This window comes from Homo sapiens, chromosome 1 (genome assembly GCF_000001405.40).
Source record: "Homo sapiens chromosome 1, GRCh38.p14 Primary Assembly".
Taxonomy (NCBI): Eukaryota; Metazoa; Chordata; class Mammalia; order Primates; family Hominidae; genus Homo; species Homo sapiens.
In genome coordinates this window covers 77,665,679-77,693,155 of record NC_000001.11, presented here as the reverse complement: position 1 = coordinate 77,693,155, position 27,477 = coordinate 77,665,679, and the positions used below count along the sequence as shown (strand labels likewise).

At 41.1% G+C, this 27,477-nt stretch overlaps 1 protein-coding gene across 19 annotated transcripts in view, besides 6 other annotated features; it reads left to right on the top strand.

Annotated features, from left to right (window-relative positions):
* Positions 8,772-9,545: an enhancer, noted in NCBI's record as "H3K27ac hESC enhancer chr1:78149296-78150069 (GRCh37/hg19 assembly coordinates)". NCBI's record gives its function as "activates a minimal SCP1, AML or CMV promoter by ChIP-STARR-seq in naive H9 embryonic stem cells {active_cell/tissue: H9 hESC(naive)}" and the evidence as "EXISTENCE:reporter gene assay evidence [ECO:0000049][PMID:30033119]".
* Positions 8,772-9,552: a biological region, named in NCBI's record as "H3K27ac hESC enhancer GRCh37_chr1:78149296-78150069".
* Positions 9,243-9,342: an enhancer, noted in NCBI's record as "active region_1217". NCBI's record gives its function as "activates an Ori minimal core promoter by ATAC-STARR-seq in GM12878 lymphoblastoid cells {active_cell/tissue: GM12878}" and the evidence as "EXISTENCE:reporter gene assay evidence [ECO:0000049][PMID:35858748]".
* Positions 9,493-9,552: a silencer, noted in NCBI's record as "silent region_1003". NCBI's record gives its function as "represses an Ori minimal core promoter by ATAC-STARR-seq in GM12878 lymphoblastoid cells {active_cell/tissue: GM12878}" and the evidence as "EXISTENCE:reporter gene assay evidence [ECO:0000049][PMID:35858748]".
* Positions 9,563-9,982: a silencer, noted in NCBI's record as "silent region_1002". NCBI's record gives its function as "represses an Ori minimal core promoter by ATAC-STARR-seq in GM12878 lymphoblastoid cells {active_cell/tissue: GM12878}" and the evidence as "EXISTENCE:reporter gene assay evidence [ECO:0000049][PMID:35858748]".
* Positions 9,758-27,477, top strand: part of ZZZ3 (zinc finger ZZ-type containing 3) — a 120,983-nt gene continuing 103,263 nt past the window's right edge. For 10 of the 19 annotated variants that reach the window (NR_164775.1, NM_001376151.1, XM_047417341.1 and 7 more), the window contains exon 1: positions 9,758-9,894. The gene's annotated coding sequence lies outside the window, so the exon portion shown is untranslated. Of the gene's footprint in view, positions 9,895-10,497; positions 10,572-27,477 lie in introns of those variants that run through there. The other 9 variants (NR_164777.1, NR_164776.1, XM_047417342.1 and 6 more) reach the window with 1 other exon arrangement.
* Positions 10,363-10,442: an enhancer, noted in NCBI's record as "active region_1216". NCBI's record gives its function as "activates an Ori minimal core promoter by ATAC-STARR-seq in GM12878 lymphoblastoid cells {active_cell/tissue: GM12878}" and the evidence as "EXISTENCE:reporter gene assay evidence [ECO:0000049][PMID:35858748]".

Genomic DNA, 27,477 nt, shown 5'->3' with positions numbered 1-27,477 from the left:
TATTATATATAATATATACAACATAATTGGCACTCGGTGATGTAATTCATCATTCTCTTTCTCCTTTTCAAAATGTGTAATTTCTTTTTTTTTTTTTTTTGAGATGGAGTCTCTCTGTCGCCCATGCTGGAGTGCAGTGGCGTGATCTCTGCTAACTGCAACCTCTGCTTCTCAGGTTCAGGCAATTCTCCTGCCTCAGCTTCCCGAGTAGCTGGGACTACAGGTGCACGCCACCATGCCTGGCTAATTTTTGTATTTTTAGTAGAGACGGGGTTTCACCATGTTGGTTAGGCTGGTCTCAAACTCCTGACCTCAAGTGATCCACCCGCCTCAGCCTCCCAAAGTGCTGGGATTACAGGCGTGAGCCACCACGTGCTAGGCCCAAAATGTGTAATTTCTAAGGATGCAACATTATTTATGTAAGAGTCCTGTCAAAAATGTTGAATCTGAATCTATGAAGAGAAGAGAAGCAAGATAACTTTTTATATTTAAATTTCAATAGTTTTGGGGTACAGGTGGTTTTTGGTTACATGGATAAGTTCTTTAGCAGTGATTTCTGAGATTTTGGTGCACTAGTCACTCGAGCGGTGTACATTTTACCTAAATGTAGTCTTGTATCCGTCAGTCCCTCCCAAACTTACATCCCAGTTCCGAAAGTCCATATCATTCTTATGCCATTGCATCCTTATAGCTTAGCTTCCACTTATAAGTGAGAACATATGACATTTGGTTTTCCATTCCTGAGTTACTTCACTTAGAATACCAGTTCCATCCAGGTTGCTGCAAAAGACATTATTTCATTCCTTTTTATGGCTGAATAATATTCCATGGTGTATATATACCACATTTTCCTTTTTTTTTTTTTCTTGAGACAGAGTTTCACTCTTGTCGCCCAGGCTGGGGTGCAATGGCGCAACCTCAGCTCACTGCAACCTCCACTTCCTGGGTTCAGGCAATTCTCTTGCTTCAGCCTCCCGAGTAGCTGGGATTACAGGTGCCCGCCACCACGTCCAGCTAATTTCTGTATTTTTAGTAGAGACGGTGTTTCACCATATTGGCCAGGCTGGTCTAGAACTCCTGACCTCAGGTGATCTGCCTGGCTCGGCCTCCCAAAGTGCTGGGATTACAGGTGTGAGCCATAGTGCCCATATACCACATTTTCCTTATCCATTTGTTAGTTCACAGGTACTTAGGTTGGTCCCATATCTTTGCACCTGCGAATTGTGCTGCTGTAAACATGCATGTGCATGTGTCTTTCTCATATGACCTCTTTTCCTTTGGGTAGATACCCAGTAGTGGGATTGCTGGATCAAATGGTAGTTCTACTTTTAGTTCTTTAAGGAATCTCCATACTGTTTTCCACAGTGGTTGTACTAGTTTACATTTCCACCAGCAATGTAAAAGTGTTCCCTTTTCACCACATCCATGCCAACATCTATTGTTTTTTGACTTTTTAATTATGGCCATTCTTGCAGGAGTAAGGTGGTATGTTATTGCAGTTTTAATTTGCATTTCCCTGCTAATTAGTGATGTTGAGCATTTTTTCATATGTTTGTTAGCTGTTTGTATATCTTCTTTTGAGAATTGTCTCTTCATGTCCTTTGCCCACTTATTGCTGGGATTATTTTTTTTTCATGCTGATTTGTTTGAGTTCCTTGTAGATTGTGGATATTAGTTCTTTGTCAGATGCGTAGTTTGCGAATATTTTCTCCCACTCTATGGGTTGTCTGTTTACTCAAGATAATTTTTTTTTTTTTCGAGACAGAGTCTCACTCTGTTGCCCAGGCTGCAGTGCAGTGGTATGATCTTGGCTCAGTTCAAGTGATTCTTCTGCCTCAGCCTCCTGAGTAGCTGTGACTATAGGCGCACGCCACCCCACCTAGCTAATTTTTGTATTTTTGTAGAGACTGGGTTTGACCGTGTTGGTCAGGCTGGTCTCAAACTCTTGACCTCAAGTGATCCACCTGCCTCTGCCTCTCAAAGTGCTGGGCTTACAGGCGTGAGTCACTGTGCCCAGCCCTCAGGATTTTTTTTTTTTTTTAGATGGAGTTTTGCTCTTGTCACCCAGGTTGGAGTGCAATGGCATGATCTCGGCTGACTGCAACCTCCGCCTCCCAGGTTCAAGCGATTCTCCTGCCTCAGCCTCCCATAGCTGGGATTACAGGCACCTGCCACCATGCCCAGCTAATTTTTTCTTTGTATTTTTAGTAGAGACGGGGTTTCGCCATGTTGGTGAGGCGGCTCTTGAACTCCTGACCTCAGGTGATCCGTCCACCTCGGCCTCCCGAAGTGCTGGGATTACAGGCGTGAGCCACCGCGCCCAGCCAGGATAATTTTTTTAAAGGCATATTTTATAAACCCAGCTTGCCTGGATTCTAAAAAATTAGTGTTATGATAGACAGAAAAAGGCTAGATGAAGATTAAGAGAACATGACTACTAAATGCAATGTGTGATCCTAGGTTGGGCCCTGGATTGGAAAAGATAATATCTAAGGAACAATATTGGAACAGTTTAGGAAATTTGAATATAGAATATGTATTAGATATTAGGTAATATATCAATGTTAAGTTTCTTGAGTATGATAACCAGTAACATAGGAGAACAACCTTGTTAGGAAATTTACGCAGAAATGCTGGTTTTTAGGGTTGAAGTCATGCTAATTTGAAACACACACATACACACACACACACATACACACACACACAGACTATAAGAGTTTCCTACCTAGGATATGCTGTTTACCTCTTCCAAGCCCACAGAATTGCTTTCAGCCTAGACTGAGAGATGTTGTAATAAGGAGTCCTATAAAATTAACTGTTGGATTTACTAGAAAGATGCTGTTAAGGATACTCTTCACATGATGTTGTCGTTGTGAGAAACTGAGAGAAATTCATCTTTAGTCTTAGTCCTGGAGTAGTAATGCCTCCTGTGGGCAAAATATTTGTTACCCTAGGCATACTGAACCTGTTATAACTGATTTTGTTTTTCCTTGTTACAACATCTGCTACAAAGCTTAAAGCAAGTGTTCAGGACCTTAGAGCATGGTTTTTGTTTTTGTTTTTTTAAATTATTTATTTTGAGACAGTTGTGCAGTGTTGCCTAGGCTGGAGTGCAGTGGCATGGTCATGGCTCACTGCAGCCTCAACCTCCCATGCTCAAGCAATCCTTCCACCTCAGGCTCAGCTGGGACCACAGGCATGCACCACCACACCTGGCTAATTTATTTTTATTTTTTGTAGAGATGGGGTCTCACTATGTTGCCCAGGTTGACCTTGAACTCCTGTGCTCAAGCAATCCTTCTAGCTTGTCCTCCCAAAGTGCTGGGACTACAGAGGTGTGAGCCAGTGCATCCAACCAAGCATGTATTTTTGTGCATCATTTTTGTTTCTATTTTCTTTTTGCCCTAAATTTCCCATTTTAATTATTTTGAATTGTATTTTACCTATTATACTGATTTTTTTGGGTAAGCTACATGTCTTTTTAGAAAGAAGCAAGGTATAGTTATTAAAAATATGGCCTTTTTGGTGATGTACAGCAATGTCTTCCCCACCAGACAGTAGGCACCAAAAGGTTTTGTCTTGTTCACCCCCTTGTGTTTAACATAATGTATGAGACAAAATAGGTTCCTGGTAAATTTGTCTAATAAGTTCACATTTAGGACTCCATTTTCAAATTTCTTCCTCACTGGTTTTTGGTTACCACTGTTCAGTTTTCCTTTACAGTTCTGGTCCCTCATTTCTCCTTTGTAGTTTTTACTTTCTTCCTTGACCTCAACAATGTCAGTGCTTCTCAGGGTTTTGTTCTTGATTTTGTTTTTCTCACTCTGCTCTCCCTGGGTAACCAAATCTAAACCTCAGGTTCCAGTTAACTATTTCTAAGCTAAAGACTCACAAACCTGTACTTCCAGCTCAGACCTGAAGCCAGCATCCTCGACATGTATCTAACTGACTCTTGGGTTCTTCATTTAGATGTACTGGGGTTGCCTGAAACTCAGTATACTCTAATGAAACACATCATTACCCCATCTAAACTTGCTCCTACTTTAGTATTTTCTGTGGTCATCAATAACACCTCCATCTCCGTGGTCACCCAAGCCTAGACTCTCCTTTCACTTCCCACTAATTCAACCACCCAAATCTTAAGAGATTCAGCCCCCAAAAGATCTGGACATATACTGCGTTTGGACATGAGGGCACTTATTAAACCAATCATAATGCCATGATAGTGCCCCCAAACAGAAAAGTGGTTAAATAAATTATGCAATCATTTATCAGGGTTTATTTTTATTTTTTAGAGATGGGGTCCCACTGTGTTGGCTCAGGCTGGGCTGCAGTGGCATGATCATAGCTCACTGCAGCCTCAAACTCCTTGGCTCAGGTAATCCTTCTGCCTTAGCCTCCAGAGTAGCTGGGAGTACAGGTGTGTACCACCAAGCCTGGCTAATTTTAAAATATTTTTTATAGAGATGGGATGTTGCTATGTTGCCCAAGCTAGGCCTGAACTCCTGACTTCAAGTGATTCTCCCACATTGGCCTCCCAAAGTGCTGGGATTACAGGTGTAAGCCACCATGCTTGGCCCAGTTCTTGGGGTTTTTGAAGAATATTTAATGACATAGAAAAAAGCTTATGATCCAATGAAAGAAATTAGGATATATGACTTCATCTTAGATTTTATATACGTGGGAAAAAAAACAGTGGTTTCTTTCAGGCAATAGTAAGTAGTAGTAGTAAATAAATAATAACTTCCATCCCATGTAGGGGGCTTTGCATCAACTGTTCTCTTTCTCTGGAGTGTTTTTCCCACCTTTGCCCAACTCCTAAATGCATTCACACTTTAGAAGTGGTGAATGCATACTTCATCTCAGATTGGATGTTGCTTCCTCAGAAGTACTTTAGAACATGTATGTACTTTTGGGTATATGGACATATTCTCATAGTGACCTGCGCTTTTTTTTTGTATATTCTCCAATTTAAAACTTTTAATTAAAAAGTAAACTTTAAGGCCGGGCGCGGTGGCTCACGCCTGTAATCTCAGCACTTTGGGAGGCCGAGGTGGGCGGATCACAAGGTCAGGAGATCGAGACCATCCTGACTAACACGGCGAAACCCCGCCTCTGCTAAAAATACAAAAAATTAGCCGGGCGTAGTGGCGGGTGGCTGTAGTCCCAGCTACTCGGGAGGCTGAGGCAGGAGAATGGCGTGAACCTGGGGGGCGGAGCTTGCAGTGACCCGAGATCGCGCCACTGCATTCCAGCCTGGGCGACAGAGCGATCCGTCTCAAAAAAAAAAGTAAACTTTAATGTCGAAAATGCAAACTTGGGGAGGGCAGAAAGAGCACGCACAAGGCTGTCACTTCACACTTGGAGGGTTGCACAGCGGCCAGCAGAGGCGCTCCTCACTTCCCAGATGGAAGGAGGGGTGGGGGGCGGGGCGGCCGGGCAGAGGCCCTCCTCACTTCCCCGACTTGCTCCTCACATTCCAGACGGTGTGGTGGCCGGGCAGAGGCCCTCCTCACTTCGCAGACGGGGTGGGGGCCGGGCAGATGTGCTCCTCACTTCCTAGACGGGGTGGGGGCCGGTCAGAGGCGCTCCTCACTTCCCAGATGGGGTGGGGGCCGAGCAGAGGCGCTCCTCACTTCCTAGACGGGGTGGGGGCCAGGCAGAAGCGCTCCTCACTTCCCAGACAATGGGGGGACTGGGCAGAGGCGCTCCTCACTTCCTAGAGGGGGTGGGGGCCAGGCAGAAGCGCTCCTCACTTCCCAGACGGTGCAGGCCGGGCAGATGGGCTCCTGACATCCCAGATGTCAGTGGCCGGGCAGTGGCGCTCCGAACTTCCCAGACAGTTGGGTGGCCAGGCAGAGGCGCTCCTCACTTTCCAGACGGGGCGGGAGCTGGGCAGAGGCGCTCCTCACTTGCCAGACAGTGGAGCAGCCAGGCAGAGGTGCTTCTCACTTCCCAGACGGTGGGGTGGCGGGGGGCGTGGGGGGGGGGTGGAGGGGGGAGGGCAGGGCAGAGGCGCTCCTCACTTCCCAGACGGTGGAGCAGCGGGGCAGAGGTGCTCTCACTTCCCAGATGGTGGAGCAGCGGGGCAGAGGTGCTCCTCACTTCCCAGACGGGATGGGGGCGGGGCAGAAGTGCTCCTCACTTCCCAGAAGGTGAGGCGGCGGGGCAGGGGTGCTCCTCACTTCCCAGACGGTGCGGGCCGGGCAGATGGGCTCCTGACATCCCAGATGGTGCAGTGGCCGGGCAGTGGCGCTCCTCACTTCCCAGACAGTTGGGCGGCCAGGCAGGAGGGCTCATCACTTTACAGACAGGGCGGCAGCTGGGCAGAGGCGCTTCTCACTTCCCAGACGGGTGACCTGCACTTTTCATGAATGGTACTAACCAGTTTGAATTTATGTGATTATATTTTAAATGTCAGCCTCCCTCCCTAGACTGTGAGCTCTGTCAGAGTAGGGCCTGTGCTTGCTTTGTTCACCACTGTATCTCTAGCACCTTGTATGGCACCTGGCATATTTGTTGAAAGAATGAACTACATCAATGATTTTCAAAGTGTGTTCTGAGGTAGCATCTTATGTGTCGTGGTAAGGGACTGAGGAAAATGTCAGCTGGTTGCCTCCTCCCAGGTCCTGTTTTATTTGGCTCAAATATTGGATCCTGGCATAAGAATATGAGTATACAAGAAATTTCCAGTGCTTCAGAAAATATTGTACAAACTGCTGAATTAGTTGATGTTAATGTATCTTCCATCTTCAATATAACGTGATCCTAGGTCAAAATAACAAAGGGGGCCAGGCGTGGTGGCTCACGCCTGTAATCCCAGTACTTTGGGAGGCTGAGGTGGGTGGAAGCTTGGGGCCAGGAGTTTTGAGACCAGCCTGGGCAACATGGCAAAACCTCATCTCTATAAAAAATACAAAAATTAACTGGGCACAGTGGTGCGTATCTCAGCTACAAGGGACACAGGAGGCTGCAGTGAGCCTAGACTGTGCCAGTGCACACCAGCTTGGGCGACAGAACGAGATCCTGTCTCCAAAAGAAAAAAAAAATAACAAAGGCCATGTAGGAATATACATGTCGTAATTAGGGAGTGGTATTTGCCAGCAAGGTTGGCAGTGGTTCCCTTTTCCAGGAGCAATGAAGCTTCTCTTTCCTACTCTTAATTGAGGATCTCAGGGGCTCCCATCCCTTTCCACTTGGCTAAGAGTTATTCTCAGGCCTAGAGTTTTTTCTTGGCTACCCTCTTTACCATCCATGAACTGCTTTCTCCTTATCCTGTAGGGATTACCCCAAAGACCCTACAGTCCAGCCATTTGGGGTTACTTGTAGTTTTCTCCCATTCACATACTCATTCATGCAGTTCCCTCATCCAAGAATTATTTTTTTCTTCTTAGCAAAGTCATCCTGTAACTTAAATGCCAATCCTTGTAAGAAGCCCTTCCCAGAAGCCCTCCTCCCCTCCCACAGTACTTTATGTATCTATATAGAAACTTCTGCAGTTCAAATGGGCAAGTTACTTGCTTTATCAATAGAAAAATACAAATAATATTACAGGCTCGGTTCCCAGGAAGCACACTCTTACATGACTAGTGTGCAGGAGATTTATTAGGGAATGCTCTTGGGATCATTACTTGTGGGAGGGAAGAAAAGCTGAACTGGGCAGAAGTTGGACTTCAGTGAAGTCTCAATGGAATGCCTTAGCTGATCCTGCAAGTTGTTCTGCAGGAGGAGAAAATCCATCAGAATTGTACCAAATGGAGGTGAGAGGGCTGAGCCTTTTATCCCTGCATTGATCAGTCACTGGATGTGGCCTCTCTGAGAACATTATGACTCTGTGACACTGGCATGCCTGAAAGGGGCTGACAACCGATGGCTGGCTGTGGGTATGACTCTTGGCAGCAGCAGCTCAGTTCTTTATTCCTGAAGTGGGGTCTGAAAAGTGCATCTCAAGGCCTACCACAAATAGTATATATCTCATAGGATTGTCAGAAGCCTAAAATAGGGTAACATAGAAAAGTACACAGCATTTGGCCTGGCACATAGGAATCAAAAGCATGCTAAGTATGGTTATTATAATAGGATTTGGCTCTATAAGTAGAAAGAGCAAGGTAGGGAAACGTGTTTATTTTTGTATCTCTAGTCTTAGCATAGGGCACTAGTATGTTTTATCTTTCCTTTTTTATTTTTGAGACAGTCTTGCTCTGTCGCCCAGGCTGGAGTGCAGTGGCACGATCTCGGCTCACTGCAACCTCCACCTCCCGGGTTCAAGCAATTCTCCTGCCTCAGCCTCCCAAGTAGCTGGGATTACATGGGATAACAGGCGTGTGCCACCACACCTGGCTAATTTTTCTATTTTTAGTAGAGACGAAGTTTCGCCATGTTGGCCAGACTGGTCTTTAACTCCTGACACCTCAGGTGATCTGCCTGTCAAGGCCTCCCAAAGTGGTGGGATTACAGGCTTGAGACACCGCGCCCGGCCTCCCCCACCCCCGTTTTTTTTTGACATACTGCCACCCAGAAACACTAGTATGTTCAATAAATACTTGATGTGTTAAAAACATGTAACCCTTTTTCTTGAAGTAGATGTTACTTTGAGTTGAACTCAAAGCTAAAATACAAAACACCATTTAAAACATTTAATAACTTTTATTAGCAACATAAAAGAAGGCACAACACGTATCCACTTGCCCGAAAAAAAAAATAGTGTTGCAAAGGAAAACAAAAGTAATGAAACAGCACTGGACAATTGTCAAAGAAGAGCCCCAGTTAACGGCTTCTACCACTGGATTTTATATTTTTGGAACATAATCTTTATAGCCACGGAAGGAGGTTTAGCTGTTTTTCCACAGCTCATAAATGATGAAGTTATTTATCTTCATTAATGTGTGTTGGGCTTTATTTTCCTACATGCTCAATATAGTTGGTAGATCTGTTTTGATATTACTGAGCACTGCTTTGTGCCAGACACAATTCTGGGGATACAGCAATGAGCAAAACAGTTTACTAAGTCCCTGCTTTTAAAAATTTTACATTTCTGGTGGTGAGGATACTGACAAATAAGGTCTGGAAGTTGTAACTGTTATGAAGAAATAAAAGCAGGTGAAGAGTTAAAGCAATGGTGCAGGTGTACTTTTTTTGGATACAGTGGTCTGGGCAGCCCTCTGAGAAGGGACCTGAAATATGCATCGAACATCGAGGAGTTAAAAAAAATCTGGAGGAAATGTTCTGCCAGAGAAATCGGCAAGCACAAAGGCCCGAAGTGGTTCGAGCCTGCGTGCTGTGGTACAAGCCAGAGGTGAACGAGGCGAGGCAGAAGCACGATCATAAATACATGTATGGATGTTCTCCTGGCTTGAGACCACAGTGCTAAGGGAGGTGGGGTTTACAAATCTCTCAGGAGGCCACAAAGGGCAGGATGAAGCCGATTTCCAATGGCGGAGCTACGAGGACGCCTTTCCTCTGCTAGGGCCAGGTTGGACGGTTGCAAGGGATGGACTGCAACCCGCCCTCGGAAGACCAAACTTCGCCCAGGGGCAGGGACTGGCCGGGGAGGGCCTCGGCGGCGCCCGACCCGCGGGCGCTGCACGGGCCGCGGTTACCAGCAGGCGGTGTAGTGAGCGCGCCTGCAGCAGCAGCAACAGCAGCAGCAGCGGTCGCCGCCGCCGCCGCCGCCCGCCAGTCCCAACGAGGAGAAAGGAGGGGACCGGAAGGAGCCGCTGGTGCTGCGGGAAGTGGCAGGAGCGGGAGGCGGGGACCCACCTGGAAGCGCCGCGGCGCCGCTATCGAGCTTCCTGCAGCGGTGGCCACCCGAGCAAGTGCCGTGGCGGGGGCGGAGAGCGGCCACGGCGGCGGCGCCTCCCCAAGTGGCCCGTTGCGTCCGACCCCGCGTGAAAGGTGAGCAAGAGCTCGGGACACGTGGTGAGGGCCAGACACGGGGGAGGGAGAATGAAGGGGGAGGGAATGGGGGTGGGAAACGATCGGCTTGGGACCCGGATTTGGAGCCAAGTACCGGGAGGGGGTGGGCTGGAGGCGACGACTGCGACGGCTGCGACGGCTGCGACGGCGAAGCCCCCACGTGGGGCGGGGGTGCGCGCGCACGTGTGCGCGGGCGAAAGGGGGGGCGGGGAGGGCTTTTGGGAGGGCGTCGGGAGCGCGCTCGCTCAGTAGCGGCCCACGTGACGGGCACGCCGAAAATGTTTCCACGTGACAGGGAGGCTGCCTGGGGCAGCGCACTGCGCTCTGTTTATGTAGTATAATCGTGGTAATCGGAGGTTTTTAAGATTTCTGCTTTTCTGTACAAGGGGAAAGGAGGAGACGTATAAAGCGGAAAGACTTCCTACTGTCTCAGTGTTTTAAATGTTCACTACTCCGTTAGTGAAGTGCTTTTTAAGTTCCGAAATACTGATTTTTTTCTGTACCGCCATGTTGGGTCTAGTGGAAGCTCGCGAGATGCGAGTGGGTTTGTATCGCGAGATCTCTCGATTCTCGCGGGACCTCGTTGGCAGAGCAGTTGTCCTGGATGGCGGAGCCTTGGGTTCCGGGGGCCTGGGACCTGCAACTCTTTCTACAAGGCAAGTCGTTAGGGAGGGGCCCGGGGCGAGTGCCTCTTGGTGCCGGGATACGTGCTGCATCAGCTTCCCATAGTCTTGAAGGGAATACAGTAACCCCATTGAGGCAACACTGCCCTCCCCATCCCCCTGCGGGCGCTCCACCACCTGCAAAAGCATATGCACCCCTCAGCCAGGTCCTTCTCCCCACGCAGTGATAGTTCCACCCTGTCCCACTCACTGGAAGTCCGGGAGCCGTGCTCGCGCAGACCTGATGATTCCATTGGATACCGTTCCTCTTACTTTAAGATGTTCTTGTCAGTTTTTCCCTTCTTGCCATTTTCTAAAGTATTCCAGACCGGTTAACTATTGTGTCGCGTTTTCTGCTGCAGTACCTGACTCCAGTCTCCTGAAACAGAACTCCTCCCATCTATTTTCTCTGGGTGTCATTTACTCATCACCCTGACTTCGTATTTTCAGTAACTTTTGGCAGTATTTGGAGGGCCCATTATGTCTCTGACAACACCTGTGGTCAGAATAAAATCCTGCTTTTCATCATTTTGTACGTGCCTATTAACTCAGTTATCGGTAGGGTTTTAATTACTACTGTGTTACTGAGGTTGCCATCTTTGAAGTTTAGGGATGGTTGTTTTAGGTTATATATTTAAGGTAACAGACTGTTTCATGTGATTTTTTTTTTTTTTTTTTTGAGACGGAGTCTCGCTCTTGTCGCCTAGGCTGGAGTGTAGTGGGGCGATCTCGGCTCATTGCAACCTCCGCCTCCCGGGTTCAAGCGATTCTCCTGCCTCAGCCTCTCGAGTATCGAGTAGCTGGGATTACAGTCGCGCTTCACCACGCCCGGCTAATTTTTGTGTTTTTAGTAGAGACGGGGTTTCACCATGTTGGCCAGGCTGGTCTCAAACTCCTGACCTCAAGTGATCCACCTGCCTTGGCCTCTCAAAGTGCTGGGATTTCAGCACTGTACAGGCGTGAGCCACCGCGCCCGGCCTCAGGTCAACTTTTTAGTAAAGAGCAAACTCATAAATTTTGGCATCAGAGTTTGAGCTTTATTTTTCTTAAATGAGTTTGAAATCAATTTAATATTTCTCTCCAATTCCCTAATGTCTCAGAAGTGAATTTACAGTATACCTTTGTTTTTTCGTATTCTTAAGTAGTATTTGGATTTTATTTAGTAGTTGCAGTACTAAATAAGGAGTGGGGAGTTAATTACAAAACGAATCAGGTGACTAGTTAATTTATTCATAGTTTGTTTTTTAAAACTACAAAAGTGTTTTTTTTTCCTATACATAATACAGAGAGGTATATAGTATAGAGTAACACAGTGCTTGTTTCACGGTACCACAAAGTTCCATTCCTCAGTCTTAAATCTCTGTAACCAGCCTTTGTGGTTGCTGTGTATCATTCCAGATATTTCCATATTTTGGTTTAGTTTTTGTTTCTTAAATGAAGGGGAGAAAGTGTTGTTTTAATGGGGTACCAACACAATATTGGCAATCAGTAAACATTTTTTAACTAAATTAAATTTTTATTTAGTGATATATGCCTGTTTGTCAAGACTTACGTATGCATACTTACGCAGATTTTTTTTGTTTGTACTGATTTTTTTGGTAGTATAATCTTGTGAAAATATCACAAGTAACTTATTTTTGCAGTAAAGTTGATTTATTGTGCTTGGTAGCTTTGCACAGAAAGAAAGTACATGTAAAACAAGATTTAAATAAATTAATGTTTTATCACTTGAGTTTTATATTTTTATCTTTAATGTGTGTTATGTATTTAACTTTATATATTATATATTCTAAACTGTAACCTAACTATATAGGAGTTTTTCAGACGTTTTAAAAGTTTATCACTGTGATTAAAATGATAGTTTGACCATGCAACTTAGTGATCTCAATTGGAGAGTGGTAGACATTAGTAGTTAGTACAAACAAAGGTATATATACTTGAAGTTGCTAAGCGGCTATCATTTTGTAAGTGTTGTTTTTGTAATTTCCCCCCGCCAAACCTACCAGTAATAATATTTATCAGACCAGTCACATAAGAGAATTGTCCACTCTTTGGGCAATGTGGTTTTTTGTTGTAACAGTGCAAGTAGAAATGTTGAGGAATAGAAGTGAGTGTTGAGAGGTATGATGTTGGAAAGAGGAAAAGGGGACATTGGGAGTGTAGAGGTTGATACTGAAATGGAATTGGACAAGTTGGGGAGAAAAGAGGAATGTAGAAGGTTGACAGTGAGGCAAGAGCCATGGTGCAAGAATAGTCAGGCTCATAATAGTTGGAGGACAGCCCGAGTCGGTATTTGAGGCAACTTTCTCCTCCTATTCTTTTTTAGATAGTTCTGGGTCTATTCACAGAATTGCTAGATATTTCCTGTCATAAAAGTCAGCAGCTTAAGGTTATACTTAATTGAAACCTTGTGAATTCTTTACTTTAGATAAAGCTATTCTGTTAAATAACATTTGTTAAGTACGTTTTATTATTATTTTTAGAAGTGGGAAATTGTGAAAATGACAATGAGTTTGAAGGTCACAGTTCTACAATGGCCTTTGCAAAGGTATCTACATAAGTTTAGCTTGGTAACTGGGCCTTTAATAGTCCACGTGCATCTGATCTATGAAATAATATATGTTCCTTGTTCTTAGAACTTTTGTTTTATAAACTTTTCAGTATTGGGTCTTGGGAAATACCAGTCTTTTACAGACACGAAATTATTTGAGGTACTTGGTAGAAATATACTGAGAAAAATCCAAGGAAGAGGAAAAATGTATTTTTACATGGTTTGTGTTTGGTTGAGTAAAATTTAAATAACCAAGAAATTTAATTTTCACTTTTCTCAATTATTACGGTCATATAAATGATGAGAGCTAATGAACTTCAGTGATCAGAGGAAACTATTAACAGTGATAATATAATAATACTGATTTATTCTCACTTGAGTTTTTTCCTTAAGGTCTGACACCATGCCAATTTCCACAGACCTGTAACTTTAAGTTACCTTAAGCTGGGCCTGGTGGCTCACGCCTGTAATACAAGCACTTTGGGAGGCCGAGGTGGGAGGATTGCTTGAGACCAGCAACAACATAGTCAGACCACGTTTCTACCAAAAAAGAAAAAAAATTAGCCTGGTAGTGCACGCCTGTAGTACCAGCTACTTGGGAGGCTGAGAAGGGAGGATTGCTTGAACCCAGAAGGTTGAGACTGCAGTGAGCTGTGATTGCACCATTGCACTCCAGCCTGGGCAACAGAGTGAGTGAGACCCTGTGTCAAAAATAAAATAAAAACACCTAAATTTCATATGAAAATTCAGTTTGGAGTCACCTACAAGAAATAGTTGCTAGAAGAGTTTCATTTTTATAGTAGTATTTACTAGAGATTTGGTATATACTCTGGTGCAAATTTCTGTAGTTAATGCTCTGATAACCACTATAATTGTACTCTGAAAACCACTCTCAGTAAATATTTCCCAAAGTCCAAAGTCTTGATTATTTTGTTTGACCCTTTCGTTCTCACCTTTCTGTTTTTCTTTTCAGCTGATTTTTCTCATTTATGTAGGTAATTTTTGTCTTATTAGAGAGGAGTGAGTTGACTAACTTGCCTTGAGGAGAATATCACTTTGTGATTAATCAAACTATTCAGATATTATTATTACTGTTGTTTTGGAACTTCAGTATATTTGTAAGTTAGAGGCAGTAATTCAGCTGACATTTATTGCTAATGACCTCAGCCATTTGAAACATAACAGCAATCCTGGACATAAAAAAATCTCTAAGCCTTCAAAATGACTGCAACCAAGTATAATAAGCCATTAGCCTTTATTAGGAAACTACTAATTGGAATTAGTCCACAGATAAAAATCTTCAGTGTTGGCCATTGGAGTTAGGGACATTGGCAGCTGAAATGTCATCTACAGGGGAAAAGGAAGAACTATTAAAAAGTAGGTGGAACTATAGTAGAATAGTGTTTTAAGGCCATTACATAAATACATACACTCCTATAATCATTAACTTCTGAAGGAATGACAGTATCGTAGAGCAGCCTAGTAAGTTGATGCATCACAATGATAACTTTAATAATGAACTTTTATTCTGTGTACTATGTTTAAGGAAGTAAGAAATTGGTGTCTTTTGAGATTGCTATAAAAGTAACCATTTTCAAAACTCTGTTAATTAAATGTTAAGTTTCAATTTTCTGGAAAATTTACGTGTAGATCTCTCCTTATCAGATGACACCAAATAAAAATGGTGCTACTGTGTATGGAACTTCCTTTGTTTTATTATTTTAACCTATTTATCTTTCTACTTAATATTTCAAGGAATTACTCCCAAACAAGGCTCTATTACATTTAATATTTGATATCAGTAATGAACAACCAATTGCCTAAAGATTAGCACATTTGCTAATGGAGAAGATAGTAAAGCAGATAATTAGAATTAGTAAATGACCTATGCATATGATTCAGTTGTATAGTTTTGAATCCTGGTATTGAGTCTATTAGCCCAAGTGTCCTAAGGTGCCAGGTTTTTGTAGTGAGTTTTTTTCATTGCATTGCTGGCCTCCTCTGTCTCATTTACTATGTTAATTTAAACCTTATGCTTCCATTAGTGGTAAAGTAGATAGTCTTTGACTTGTGTATAAGGGGTGTGTATGTATTTTAATGATTTTGAAAGCTGGTTTGAGGAATTAGATTTTGGGAATTAATATAACAATTATTAGCATTTTGATATATTTCTTCCATTATTTTAATGTATATTTTTTATGTATTTGTGGGTAAAAACATTTAATTTCATGTCCTGCTTTTTAACCTACTGTTAGGTACCACTTTCCCATTCTCACAATGCATCTTAATAACTATCATTATAAATGATTGTAAAATGTTCTGTGCAGTGAACATATGTTATTCCCCTATGTGAAGAACATATTTATACATGTTTCTTGTATATAGTATTATCTCTCTCTTGTATATTGCCAGAATTGATTTTTTAGGTACATTTTGAAGGCTCTTAAAACATACTGAACAATATTAATCAAAAGGGATAAATTTGTATTCTCTTTCGAGTGGTTGTTACCCTATACTCATCAACATTTAACATTTTTTATAAAGGTTTAATGGGGGTGTATGACATATTGTGCTTTATTTATTTAATTACTGAGGTGAAGCATGTTTATAGATGTATTTATCTTGTGAACTTTGAAGATAAATAGATTTTAACATTATTGCAGTCAAACATCTTTTTGTTTGTTTGTTTTGAGACAGAATCTTGCTCTATTGCACAGGCTGGAGTGCAGTGGCACCATCTCGGCTCACTGCAGCCTCTACCCCCCGGGTTCAAGCAATTCTCCTGCCTCAGCCTCCTGAGTAGCTGGGACTACAGATGCACACCACCACGCCCGGCTAATTTTTGTATTTTTGTAGAGATGGGGTTTCACCATGTTAGTCAGGCTGGTCTGGAACTCCTGACCTGAGGTGATCCACTTACCTCGGCCTCCCAAAGTGCTGGATTACAGGGGTGAGCCACGGTGCCTGGCCCAAACATCTTGATATAATTTTGTTCTGCTGATTTTATGAAATTCCTCCCTTTTCAGAACTGTAATAAACAATATTGGTTTAATTCTGTTTGTTTAGTTTTTCTAAGTTAGATTTAAATAAATTTAAGTTTTTACCTCATCTGGCATTGGTGTGAAATGAGAATCTAAATGTTTTCCTCCAAATTGGTAATTTTCTCAACTCTGTTAAATAATGCTTTATTTAATTTTTTAATTTTTCTCATTTTTTTGTTATGCTTCATTTTTACATTTTAATCATTTTTATTTTAAATTGTTTATTTTTACCCCAAGCCTTAAGAACATTCATATTGTTTTTAGATGATTCTGTGATATGTTTAATATCTTTTGCCTTGGCTTTCTTATTGTGGTGTTTGTTTCCTTATTTATTTTTAAGATTACTGTAAGTTGAGGATAATAAAGTTTATTTTTTAACAAAACAATGTTTTATAATTCCTTTTCTTGTCAGCCAGAATTTGAAATAAGATTTTTCCATACCACATAATTTGGTTGCATTAAATGAAAATTTCCCCCTTTTTGAACAGAGATAAAATGTGAAACTACTTAAAAGTACTATGCTGGCCACAGTGGCTCATGCCTGTAATCCCAACACTTTGGGAAGCTGAGGTGGAAGGATCGCTTCAGCCCAGGATTTGGACACCAGTCTGGGCAACATAGTGTGACCTCGTCTCTACAAAAAATACACAAAATTAGCCTGGTGTGGTGGCGTGCGCCTGTACTTTCAGCTACTGTGGAGGATGAGGTGGAAGGATCACTTGACCCCAAAAGATTGAGGCTACAATGAGCCCAGATTGCGCCCCTACACTCCAGCCTGGGTGACACAGTGAGACCCTTGTCAAAAAACCCCCAACCAACAAGTACAGTACTAGAGACTGTAAGGAGTAAAACTACTTTGGCAGATTTTGGGGAATTAGAGAAATTAACTCCTAAGATTAACAGTTTAGGATGTATGCTTAAAGTGTTAAACAGCAGTATACAACTTGATATCATATACCTCTAAGATATTTAGTGAAAAAGTTTCATTTAACAGCTGTAGGACTCAGGTTACAGAATCACAATACCTTCTTCAAATGTTGAGATAGCAATATGATACATTTACTGAAATTTAATAGCATAGACATTCAGGTAAGCTTTAGGAAGGTATCTATGTCAAAGAGCATTTTTAATACTGAGAGTGCTTACTGTTTACTATGATGCCTTTTTTTCTGTTATGAAATAATTTGTGATCTCAAAATAATTGAAAAAAGGTATTTATGTTTGTTTACATTTTGAAATTGTGATGGCTACAAAGCTGTTAATTTTATTAAATGGCTTTAATGTTTTCTGTTTACAGATTTTTCTGGTTACAATAATGCTAGTAAGAAAAGCCAGATTTAAGTAACTTTGAGTGTGAAAAAATAATAAATATTTGAAAAAAAAAAAAGTGTGTCCTGTGCTTGAAGAACACCTACAGAGAACTGAAGATGAACAATTCGATGTGATGTAATTTCCTTCTGTCTTGGGTTATGGTGAGATTTAAAGGGATTGGAACATAACTTAACACCTTTTTTTCCTACTGGAATTCGGCTGCCACATGAGAGATGAGTTGCTTTTTCAAAATGTCACTGAAATTGTCCAGGAAATAGCGTTGCTAATTATATTCTGGCACTATTTACCCTCCTTACTAGTTTTTAAAGTTTTTTTTTTAATTGGTCAGAAGTTAAAGGAAAATAGATCCTGCCGTTGTTACACACTTTCCCGTTGGAAAGCAGATTGATGTGTTTCATAAATAAAATGAAATAATGCTTTTAGGTGGCTTGGCTGTATTATAGAGGGAACTACCAAGATTATTTCTCCTGGCAAAGGGGTGTGTGTGAGATTTATCCACTAATAGCCCTTGAAGAACTTTGTAATACTTCTCTCTTTTTTTATTTACATTTTTTTATTTCCATAGATTATTGGGGATGTAATACTTCTCTATATTAACTCTCCACTCTCCACCCCAAACCTATGATTCTTACCTGAACTGTCTTCACTATATGTAGATTTTTATGGTGTTTTTGCAGTAATGTTTCTTTTTTTTTTTTTTTTTGAGACCGAGTCTTACTCTGTTGCCCAGGCTGGAGTGCAGTGGTGTGATCTCGGCTCACTGCAACCTCTGCCTCCTGGGTTCAAGCAATTCTCCTGACTTAGCCTCCTGAGTAGCTGGGACTACAGGCACACGCCACTATGTGCAGCTCATTTTTGTATTTTTAGTAGAGACGGGGTTTTGCCATGTTGGGGAGACTGGTTTTGAACTCCTGACCTCAAGTGATCTGCCCACCTCGGCCTCCGAAAGCGCTGACATTACAGGTGTGAGCCACTGCACCCGGCCAATGTGTCTTTTCCTAAGGAGAAATCTCCTCTTTTTCCTTCTTTTTAAATAAAGATAAATACAATTAAAGTATAATACACACAGAAAGTTCTCATAAATGTACACCTCAGTGAATTTTCACAGTGTGAGCACACTGGTGTAATCGTCACTAAGAAGAACACTGTCAGAACTCCAGAAACTTGTGTGTTTATTCCGGTCATTAATGGTCCCTAGGTGCCACCCCTCACCAAGAGAAATCACTCTTTTGATGTCTAGTACCACAGAATTATTTTATTTGCTTTTGAGCCTAGGATTTATACAGTATGTATTGTTTTTGTGTTTGGCCTTTTTTGCTCAATGTTATGTTTGTGAGATTCAGCTGTTTTATTGTGTCTTCATCCTGTTCTGATACGAGTAACCTGAGAAATCCTATAACTCAACCTGATTTGTACCTTGAGATCTCAACACTTAGACATTTTTCTCATGGCATTCATGGTTTTCAAGAACTCCTAGGAGGGGACATCAAATAAAAGCCTTCTTTGTTTTAAACTCTGTGGTAGACCTTTTTTTGTGTTTTAATGACCTTTTTTGTGTTTTATTGCTATTTGGGTAAATAGTAGATTTTAAAATTTATGTCACTGATGGCTTATGCAGTACCTCAGCTGCTTTTTTTTTTTTTTCCTACTTAAAAATTTTGTTTTAAAAACTATGGTACAGGATTCCTGGCCAGCTAATGGCTTTTTGGACTTTTATGACTTGGTAGCTTGCTTTTCATTCTTTGAATTCCTCAAGCAGTGATTCCCATTCTAATTTTTATGATACCATGTAGTATCTTCAGTTATTTCAAAGCATGTTGTGAGCCTCCCCACCAAGAAAAAGATTCCAATTTAAGTTTAAGCCACTTTACTTTCAAAATACTTAACATTTATGAACAGTACAACTTTTATATTTATGAACAGTACAACATTGTGGTGTGTAGATTATAAAATCAAATAGGCTGGTAAAAAATTGGGAATCAGCTAAGAGACTTACCTGCTTATTAACCCCTTTCAAGCTAGCTTCAAGTGTAAAGTGCAACTTTTATTTGTGTGTGTGTGACACAGTCTCACTCTGTCACCCAGGATGGAGTGCAGTGGCGCGATCTCAGCTCACTGCGACCTCCAGCTCCTGAGTTCAAGCAATTTTCGTGCCTCAGACTCCCGAGTAGCTGGAATTACAGCCGCCTGCCACCATGCCTGGCTAATTTTTGTATTTTTAGTAGAGGCGGGGTTTCTCCACGTTGTCCAGGCTGGTTTCGAACCCCTGACCTCAGGTGATCTGCCCTCCTCAGCCTCCCAAAGTGCAGGGATCACAGGCGTGAGCCACCCTGCCTGGCCGTAAAGTGCAACTTTCTTCTCAGGAGTTCTCCTTTTGTATTTTCTTCTCATTTCACTTTCTTAATTTTAAGGAAAGTCATAGTGAAAGATTTATGACTGTATTCCTGCACATAATTTTTCTTTCATATAAGTCCTATGGTTATGATATGCCTGGATGATATGCTTAATTTCCTTTTTAAGTGAATTTTAGTTATTTCAGTCAGTAAGTGTTAGGGCCAGAATATTATAAATGGCCAATAGTTGTTGAAATTAGGTATTTTGGTCATGATTAAGAGTGACGTGTATACTTAGCAGTCCTGTACTTCAGTCATCTTTTATTTGCTGAGCTTTTGTGGAAATTAAATGATTGTAAAGTTTTAGCCTACTTTCTAAAAAAAAATCACTTGTTTTTTAATCTGGAGAGTTTAAATGTCTGACTTTGGGGAAACATCATGCAATAGGGGAACATTATCTCCTGAAGAATGGGGGAGAGATGAACTAACTTTTGTAATGGTTATAGAGTTACTTCTAAATTTGAATAAATGCTGTTCTACCTAGTGAACTAGTCAGAGCATTTTCCACTTTGACCTAAGCCAAGCACATGGGTAGCTACTTCTCTTTCTGTAGTTAAGAGAATTTCACCAAGGATATTTTGATTTATTTGTAGCTATATGGCAGTGGTTCTCAGTATTTATCATTCATCATAATCGCCTGAAAGTTGTTTGTTTTAAATAATAGATTTCTGGGCTCTGCCCTTAGAGTTTCAGATTTAGTACGTCAGGAGACCACACTTTGAGTAGCACTACTTGGGTATAGTCAGGACTTCTGCATTAAAAAACAAAATGAACAGACAAAAACCCTACAAGTGATTCTGTTACATATCCTAGATGAGAGAACCTTTGATCAATAGTTCTCAATACAGTATATGGTTCTGGGCATAGCAGCAGAGCATCACTTGGGAATTTTACAAATGCAGATTTTCTCCAACTCTGGAGATGGAACCCAGAAATATGTGTTTTAAACTAAACCACTAGAGGATTCTGGTGTGTGCTAAAGTTTGACAACCATCCTTGTAACTTTATAGTTCCCTGGCACCTATCAGGGAATTTACTAGAAATTCAAATTTCACACTGCACTCGGAGCTCTCATATAACAGATTCTGAATATCAGAATCTCATTTTACAGTAGTCTCTACTGCACTCTTCAGTTTCGCTTTCCTTCGGCTGAACATACTAAATGGGAAATTCAAGAAATAAACAATTCATGTTTTAAATTGTGTGCCCTTTTGAGTATCCTGATGAAATCTCTTATTGTCCCTCTGGTCGTGCCTGTTATGTGAATCATCCCTTTGTCCAGTGTGTCCATACTTTGTATGCTTCCCACTGGTTAATCACTTAATAGCCATCTCAGTTATCAGATTGAAAAAACATAGTATATATCTGGTTTGGTACTATCCTCATATTCAGGTATCTACTGGGGATCTTGGAATGTATCGCTTGTGGATGTGGGGAGGGAACTACTGTAACTAGATTCATAGGTGGTTTGTATGTATATTGAAGATTGAAAAGAGCTGCTTTAGGTGATTTTAAAAACTCTTATAGAAGTAATACTAATAACTAAAATTTATTGGATATTTGCTGTGGGCCAGATACATGCTAGATACTCTATTCATTATCATTAGTACTCCCTACAACCTTATACAGAGGGTTACTGTAACCCTCATTCTATAAATAAGCAAATCAAAGCAGAGGGGTTTCATATCTTGCTCGGTGTCACACAGGTGCTAAATGGAGGGTTTGGGATTTGAACCTAAGCACTCAAACTGTGGAGTTTTGGAGTTTGAGGTGCTATCTTCATATGTATCTTCAGTACTGTTTGTGTGCATGTATGTCCTTCCTTGTTTCAGTGCCATAGATTATATTCTAATGAATTTTTTTGGTATCACATTTTACAGTGACATTTGAATTTTCTTTCAAGTCTCATATTCATCAGAACAATCAGAAGTGGAAATAGCTGTGGTTTGAATACTTTGATCTTGTCTACCTAAATAACAGGCTTTCTAAAAGAAAATAATGTTTATTTGGGAATAGGGCTTTGCAGTGGGAATTCTGTTGTTACAGTAAACCATGTGCATATACAGGGAGGTAAAAGAAGACCAAAGTTTTTAAAGGAAAAATGAGGAGGATTTCATAATTATTTTGAGATAATTATTCTTGGCTACAAGGGTCAATAAAGTGCCTCCATTCTGAGGTTGGACCGGCAGTTGCTGGCAGATGTCCTCACAGAAGTTTTTTTTTTTTTAAAAAAAACAACCCCCACCACCCCCCCAAAAAAACAGTGTTACTGTGTTGCCCAGGCTAGATGTAAACTCCTGGGTTCAAGCAATCTTCCTGCTTCTTGGGTAGCTGGGATTATAGGTGTGTATGTACCATGCACCTGGCTTGTTTTTGTTTCACGTTTTGTATAAGGTTGTAGTTTTTGCAGAGTCTTTTGTGATAGTTTTTATCATGCATACCCGCATGACAGCCCTTCCTTCATAGCCTTCCCTGGCTGTTTGTCAGGGTGTTTTTTTTTTGTTTTGTTTTGTTTAAAAAAAAACAGAACAAACACTACTACTACTCCAGTTTGATTCTGATAACTTTCATATAAGTCTGTTCATCAAGGTGTTGTTATCCATCCAAACTCTTTGTTGCCTTAATAGATTTTGTTTTTGTGTGTAATTTCAGTAAGGCAGCTCTTACTGGTTAATGTTTCTGGTAAAAATTTGCATGCTAGGCCAGGTGCAGTGGCTCATCATGCCTGTAAACCCAGCACTTTGAGAGGCCGAGGTGGGCGGATCATCTGAGGTCAGGAGTTCGAGACCAGCCCAGTCAACATGGCGAAACCCCATCTCTACTAAAACAAAAAATTAGCCAGGCATGCTGGAGTGTGCCTGTAGTCCCAGCTACTCGGTGAGGCTGAGGCAGGAGAATCGCTTGAACCCAGGAGGCGGAAGTTGCAGTGAACCGAGATCATGCCATTGCACTCCAGCCTGGGTGACAGAGCGAGACTCTGCCCCCCCCCAAAAAAAAAAAAATTGCATGTTGTATGTTCAAGGACAGTACTGGTTTATTAAAGAGGACAACAATGCAATTCAGTATCTGGAGGCTCCCATGTACTAAAATTATGCTTTGGAGTTTAATTCAAGTAAAACATGGAGATTTGCTTGATAATAGACCTAAATGCTGGTGTTAATTTCAAGGGAGTAATATGGGGGGGGGGGGTCACAATATTTATTATATTAATAGGTTTTTTGGGGGAATTTGTTAGTCATATTAATTCTTTTTAAGTGCACAATTCAGTGCTTTTTAGTAAAATTACAGTGCCATGCAACTATTACCTCAATCCCGTTTTAGAACATTTCTGTCACACCAAAATGATCTCTTTTACCTGTTTTAAGTCATTCCCACCTTCAGCCTATTACAGTTTTCTTTTCTTTTTTTTTTAAATCAGCTGGTGCATTTTAGAAGTTCTTAGTAATAAAACCAACCTATAGACTTTAATCTATAAACCTTTTTAAACTTTTAAGAAACGGAGAGGCCGGGGCGCAGTGGCTCACGCCTGTAATAGTAGCTCTTTGGGAGGCTGAAGTGGGTGCATCGCCTGAGGTTGGGAGTTCAAGACCAGCCTGGCCAACATGGACAAACCCCCTCTCTACTAAAAATACAAACATTAGCCAGGTATGGTGGTGGGTGCCTGTAATTCCAGCTACTCTGGAGGCTGTGGCAGGAGAATCGCTTGAACCCAGAGGGGCGGAGGTTGCAGTGAGCTGAGATTGCGCCTGTTCACTCCAGCCTGGGCAACTGAGCGAGACGCCATCTCAAAAAAAAAAAAAAAAAAAACTGAGAAAGAAAGTTTAATGGTATTCTAGCTCTTAATTTCTGTTCATTTAACATCAGTTTAATTTGTTGATAGGATTAAAGTGATGTGAACAGTAGTGTTTAGGGCTAGGAAATGTTCTTTCATTCACTTAATGGACCATTCACAATCTATGTAATGTATGAAGAGGAAATGGGGAGAAGAGAAAGAGAAGATAAGAGAAACTTGATATCTATAGTTCCATGATGATACTGACAACCTCAGAGTTCTTGTCTGTGGTGGTTATTTGGATTCTGGAAAACTACTGTGTGTTTCTGTTGTCTTGATCTGAATGCCTCTCAAGAATGACACTTTCTTTTAAGAGCTTTATCTCTACAAGCTATGTGTTTTAAGAACTCTGGGGATGAATAATCACACAGTGTGCTGACTTAGGATATCGTTGTGCATAAGGCTGTTTTTTTTTTTTTGTAACACAAAAATATCTGAAGAATATGTTTGGCATAGTTTGATACAGTTTTTGGTTTTGATTAATTAAATAATTCACTAATAATAAAGATCAGAGCTTCTGATAAATTCTTGTTTTTGCTGGTAGTTTAATCTCCTAAAAGTTGAAGAGAATTGCTGATATGAAATTGATTCTTACCAACAAGGAAGAACACTTAGATATAGAATTAACCATTATCGAACATCTGTTTTGGGCAAATGGACTGTGTTTATAGTCACTTTTTTGTGGTGTGGTAAAAAGAACATGGACTTGGAATCAGATAGACTTTGATTTAAATCCTGGCTCTAGCACTGAGAGCACTGTAACTTTTTTTTTTTTTTTTTTTGAGACAGGGTCTTGCTCTGTCACGCAGGCTGGAATGCAGTGGTGCGATCATATGAGCTCTATAATTTTAAGCAAGTTACTTATTTCTAAGCTTTGTTTTCCTTATTATAAATAGATATGGTACTTTCTACTTATATAGAGAGTATATAATGTACTTGATATAAAATAGATGCTCAGTAAGTGCTCTTTGTTATTGATGTGGAAACAGAGGCTCAGAGAAGTTTGTCACACAGCTAGTAACTGACAAATATCTGACTCCAAAGCCCATGCTTTTCCATGCCTCCCAGCTAGAAATTGAAATGATGGGAATCAAAAGACAGTGATCATTCTATGCTGTCTTGGAGTTTACCTTAGGTAGCAATTCCCAGAAAAGCAGGTTTCAGAAAGTTCAGAAAAGAAACTGGTAATGACCACAGATAGTTTAAGCAATCAATACTGATAGGCTCTTAAAAATGAAACCTGTTATTTAAATTACAAAAAAAATTCCATTGGGGAAGAAAAACGTGAGTAATCTAAAGAAATTAATATGACTTCCTCATAAGTAAATTTTTTCAAAAGAAAAACATATCAAGGATACCCATTAGCCAGGTGTAGCGGCTCACACCTGTAATCCCAGCACTTTGGGAGGCTGAGGTGGGCAGATCCCCTGAGGTCAGGAGTTCAAGACCAGCCTGACCAACATGGCGAAACCCTGTGTCTCTACTAAAAATACAAAAATTAGCCGGGCGTGGTGGCAGGTGCATGTAATCCCAGCTACTTGGAGGCTGAGGCAGGAGAATCACTTGAACCCAGTAGGTGGAGGTTGCAGTGAACCAATGTCATGCCACTGCACTCCAGTCTGGGCAACAGAGCGAGACTCTCTCTCAAAAAAAAAAAAAAAAAAAAGAATACCCATTTAACTAATGGTATATAAGATTAATTTAAAAAATCATTTGACTTATTGATAGGATTTAAAGTGATGTGAACAGTAGTGTTTAGGGCTAGGAAACATTCTTTCATTCACTTAATAGAGCATTCACAATCTATGTAATGTATGAAGAGGAAATGGGGAGGAAAAAAAGAAGATAATTAGGAATGTAGGTAGGCTAGATAGAGCTGGAATGAGGTAAGGCTTGTAAAAATGCTTAAGGACAATAAAAAGGACTAGTCAATAAAGAAGAAAGAAGGCTTTTGATTAGGGAGATAACATTAAATAATGAGAAATACCCAAATTCTGTTTTACTTTTAAGTGTAGGAGAAGGGTTTTCATACTGCAAGGGAGACGGTTAAAAAAAAGCTGTCTAAAGACAAAGTTTTATTCCTTGGTATGTTACATGATAAAAAGCATCTACTTTCATTAAAGAAATTTAGAGCTCCAATTCCAGTAAAATACTTAGAGCAATGAAGTGTCAGTTTGAGTTTATTGATGTCAGTGGCTGCTTTTGGTTGTAGAGCTGTTCACAGTGTTTGCTTTTCTAAAATAATATTGAGTAATTAAAATCATCAATGTAAAAACTTGTCTTCAGGTTCAACTTATATATTTTCTTATTCTATTAACTAGCACATTGTAAACTAAGAATGCTTTTTCTGAGTGAGAGAAGACTTTGATTAATAGCCTAGTAATTATAATTGAACAGTAAGTCTCCCTTAAAATATCCTTGAGTAAAATGGCATTTATACTTGTTTTATTTTCCTGGAATACTCTTCTCAAATATTTTCATGGCCTGTTCCCTCACTTCTGTGGTTCAAATGTTACCTCAGCTAGAAAGGTTTTCCCTGAGGGAGTTTTTAAGGGACATCATTTACATAGACTTCAATGTGAATGGTGCTCTTTGGTGTGAACCTCATTTTACTACCTAAAATAGTATCTTCTTCCTTCACTTTCCCTGGTTTTTCTTAATAGTAATGATCATACCTGATGTTTATTGTCTCTTCTAAGAATATAATATCCATGAAGGATGGGATTATGTTTTTTCTGCTGCAGTTCTTAGAGCCTGGAATGATGCCTAGTTCATGGGAGATGGTCAGTGAATACTTGCTGAATTTATTTATTTATTTATTGAGCGAGATTTCAACACATGAATGGGGACACACACGTTTAGTCCATATAAGTATTTATATTATTATTATTCTTTGAGATGGAGTCTGGCTCTGTGTCGCCCAGGCTGGAGTGCAGTGGCACGATCTTGGCTCACTGCAACCTCTACCTCCTGGGTTTAAGCGATCTTCCCACCTCTGCTTCCCAAGTAGCTGGAATTACAAGCGTGCACCACCACACCTGGCTAATTTTTGTATTATTAGTAGAGGCAGGGTTTCACTGTGTTGGTGAACAGGCTAGTCTTAAAACTCCTGACCTCAAGTGATCTGTCTGCCTTGGCCTCCCAAAGTGCTGGGATTACAGGCATAAGCCAACGTGCCAGAATGCATGAATTTATACTGTAAAGTGTTGGAACAAGGTTGTGAGCCCTAGGAACATTGCAGTGTGAATATTAGCTATTACCACTGCTACTGCTGCTTAACTTAATTACATTCCGTATATACGTTTGATATACTGTTTTAGTTTTAAGCACTATTCCTTGTGGAGTAAATTTCAACAAGTAGGATTTTCCCAAATACTTTATTTATTTTTGAGATGGAGTCTCGCTGTCTCTCCCAGGCTGGAGTGTACTGGCGCAATCTCGGCTCACGGCACCCTCCGCCTTCTGGGTTCAAGCGATTCTCCTGCCTCAGCCTCTTGAGTAGCGGAGATTACAGGCGTGTGCCACCACGCCTGGCTGATTTTTTTATCTTAGTGGAGACTGGGTTTTGCCATGTTGGCCAGGCTGGTCTTGAACTCTGACGTCAGGTGATCCGCCCGCCTCGGCCTCCCAAAGTGCTGGGATTACAGGTATGAGCCACCACACCTGGCTTCCCAAATACTTTAAAACTTTAAAATTTTATATTTTCTCTAGCTTTATTGAGTTATAATTGGTAAATATAAAAATTTTAAAT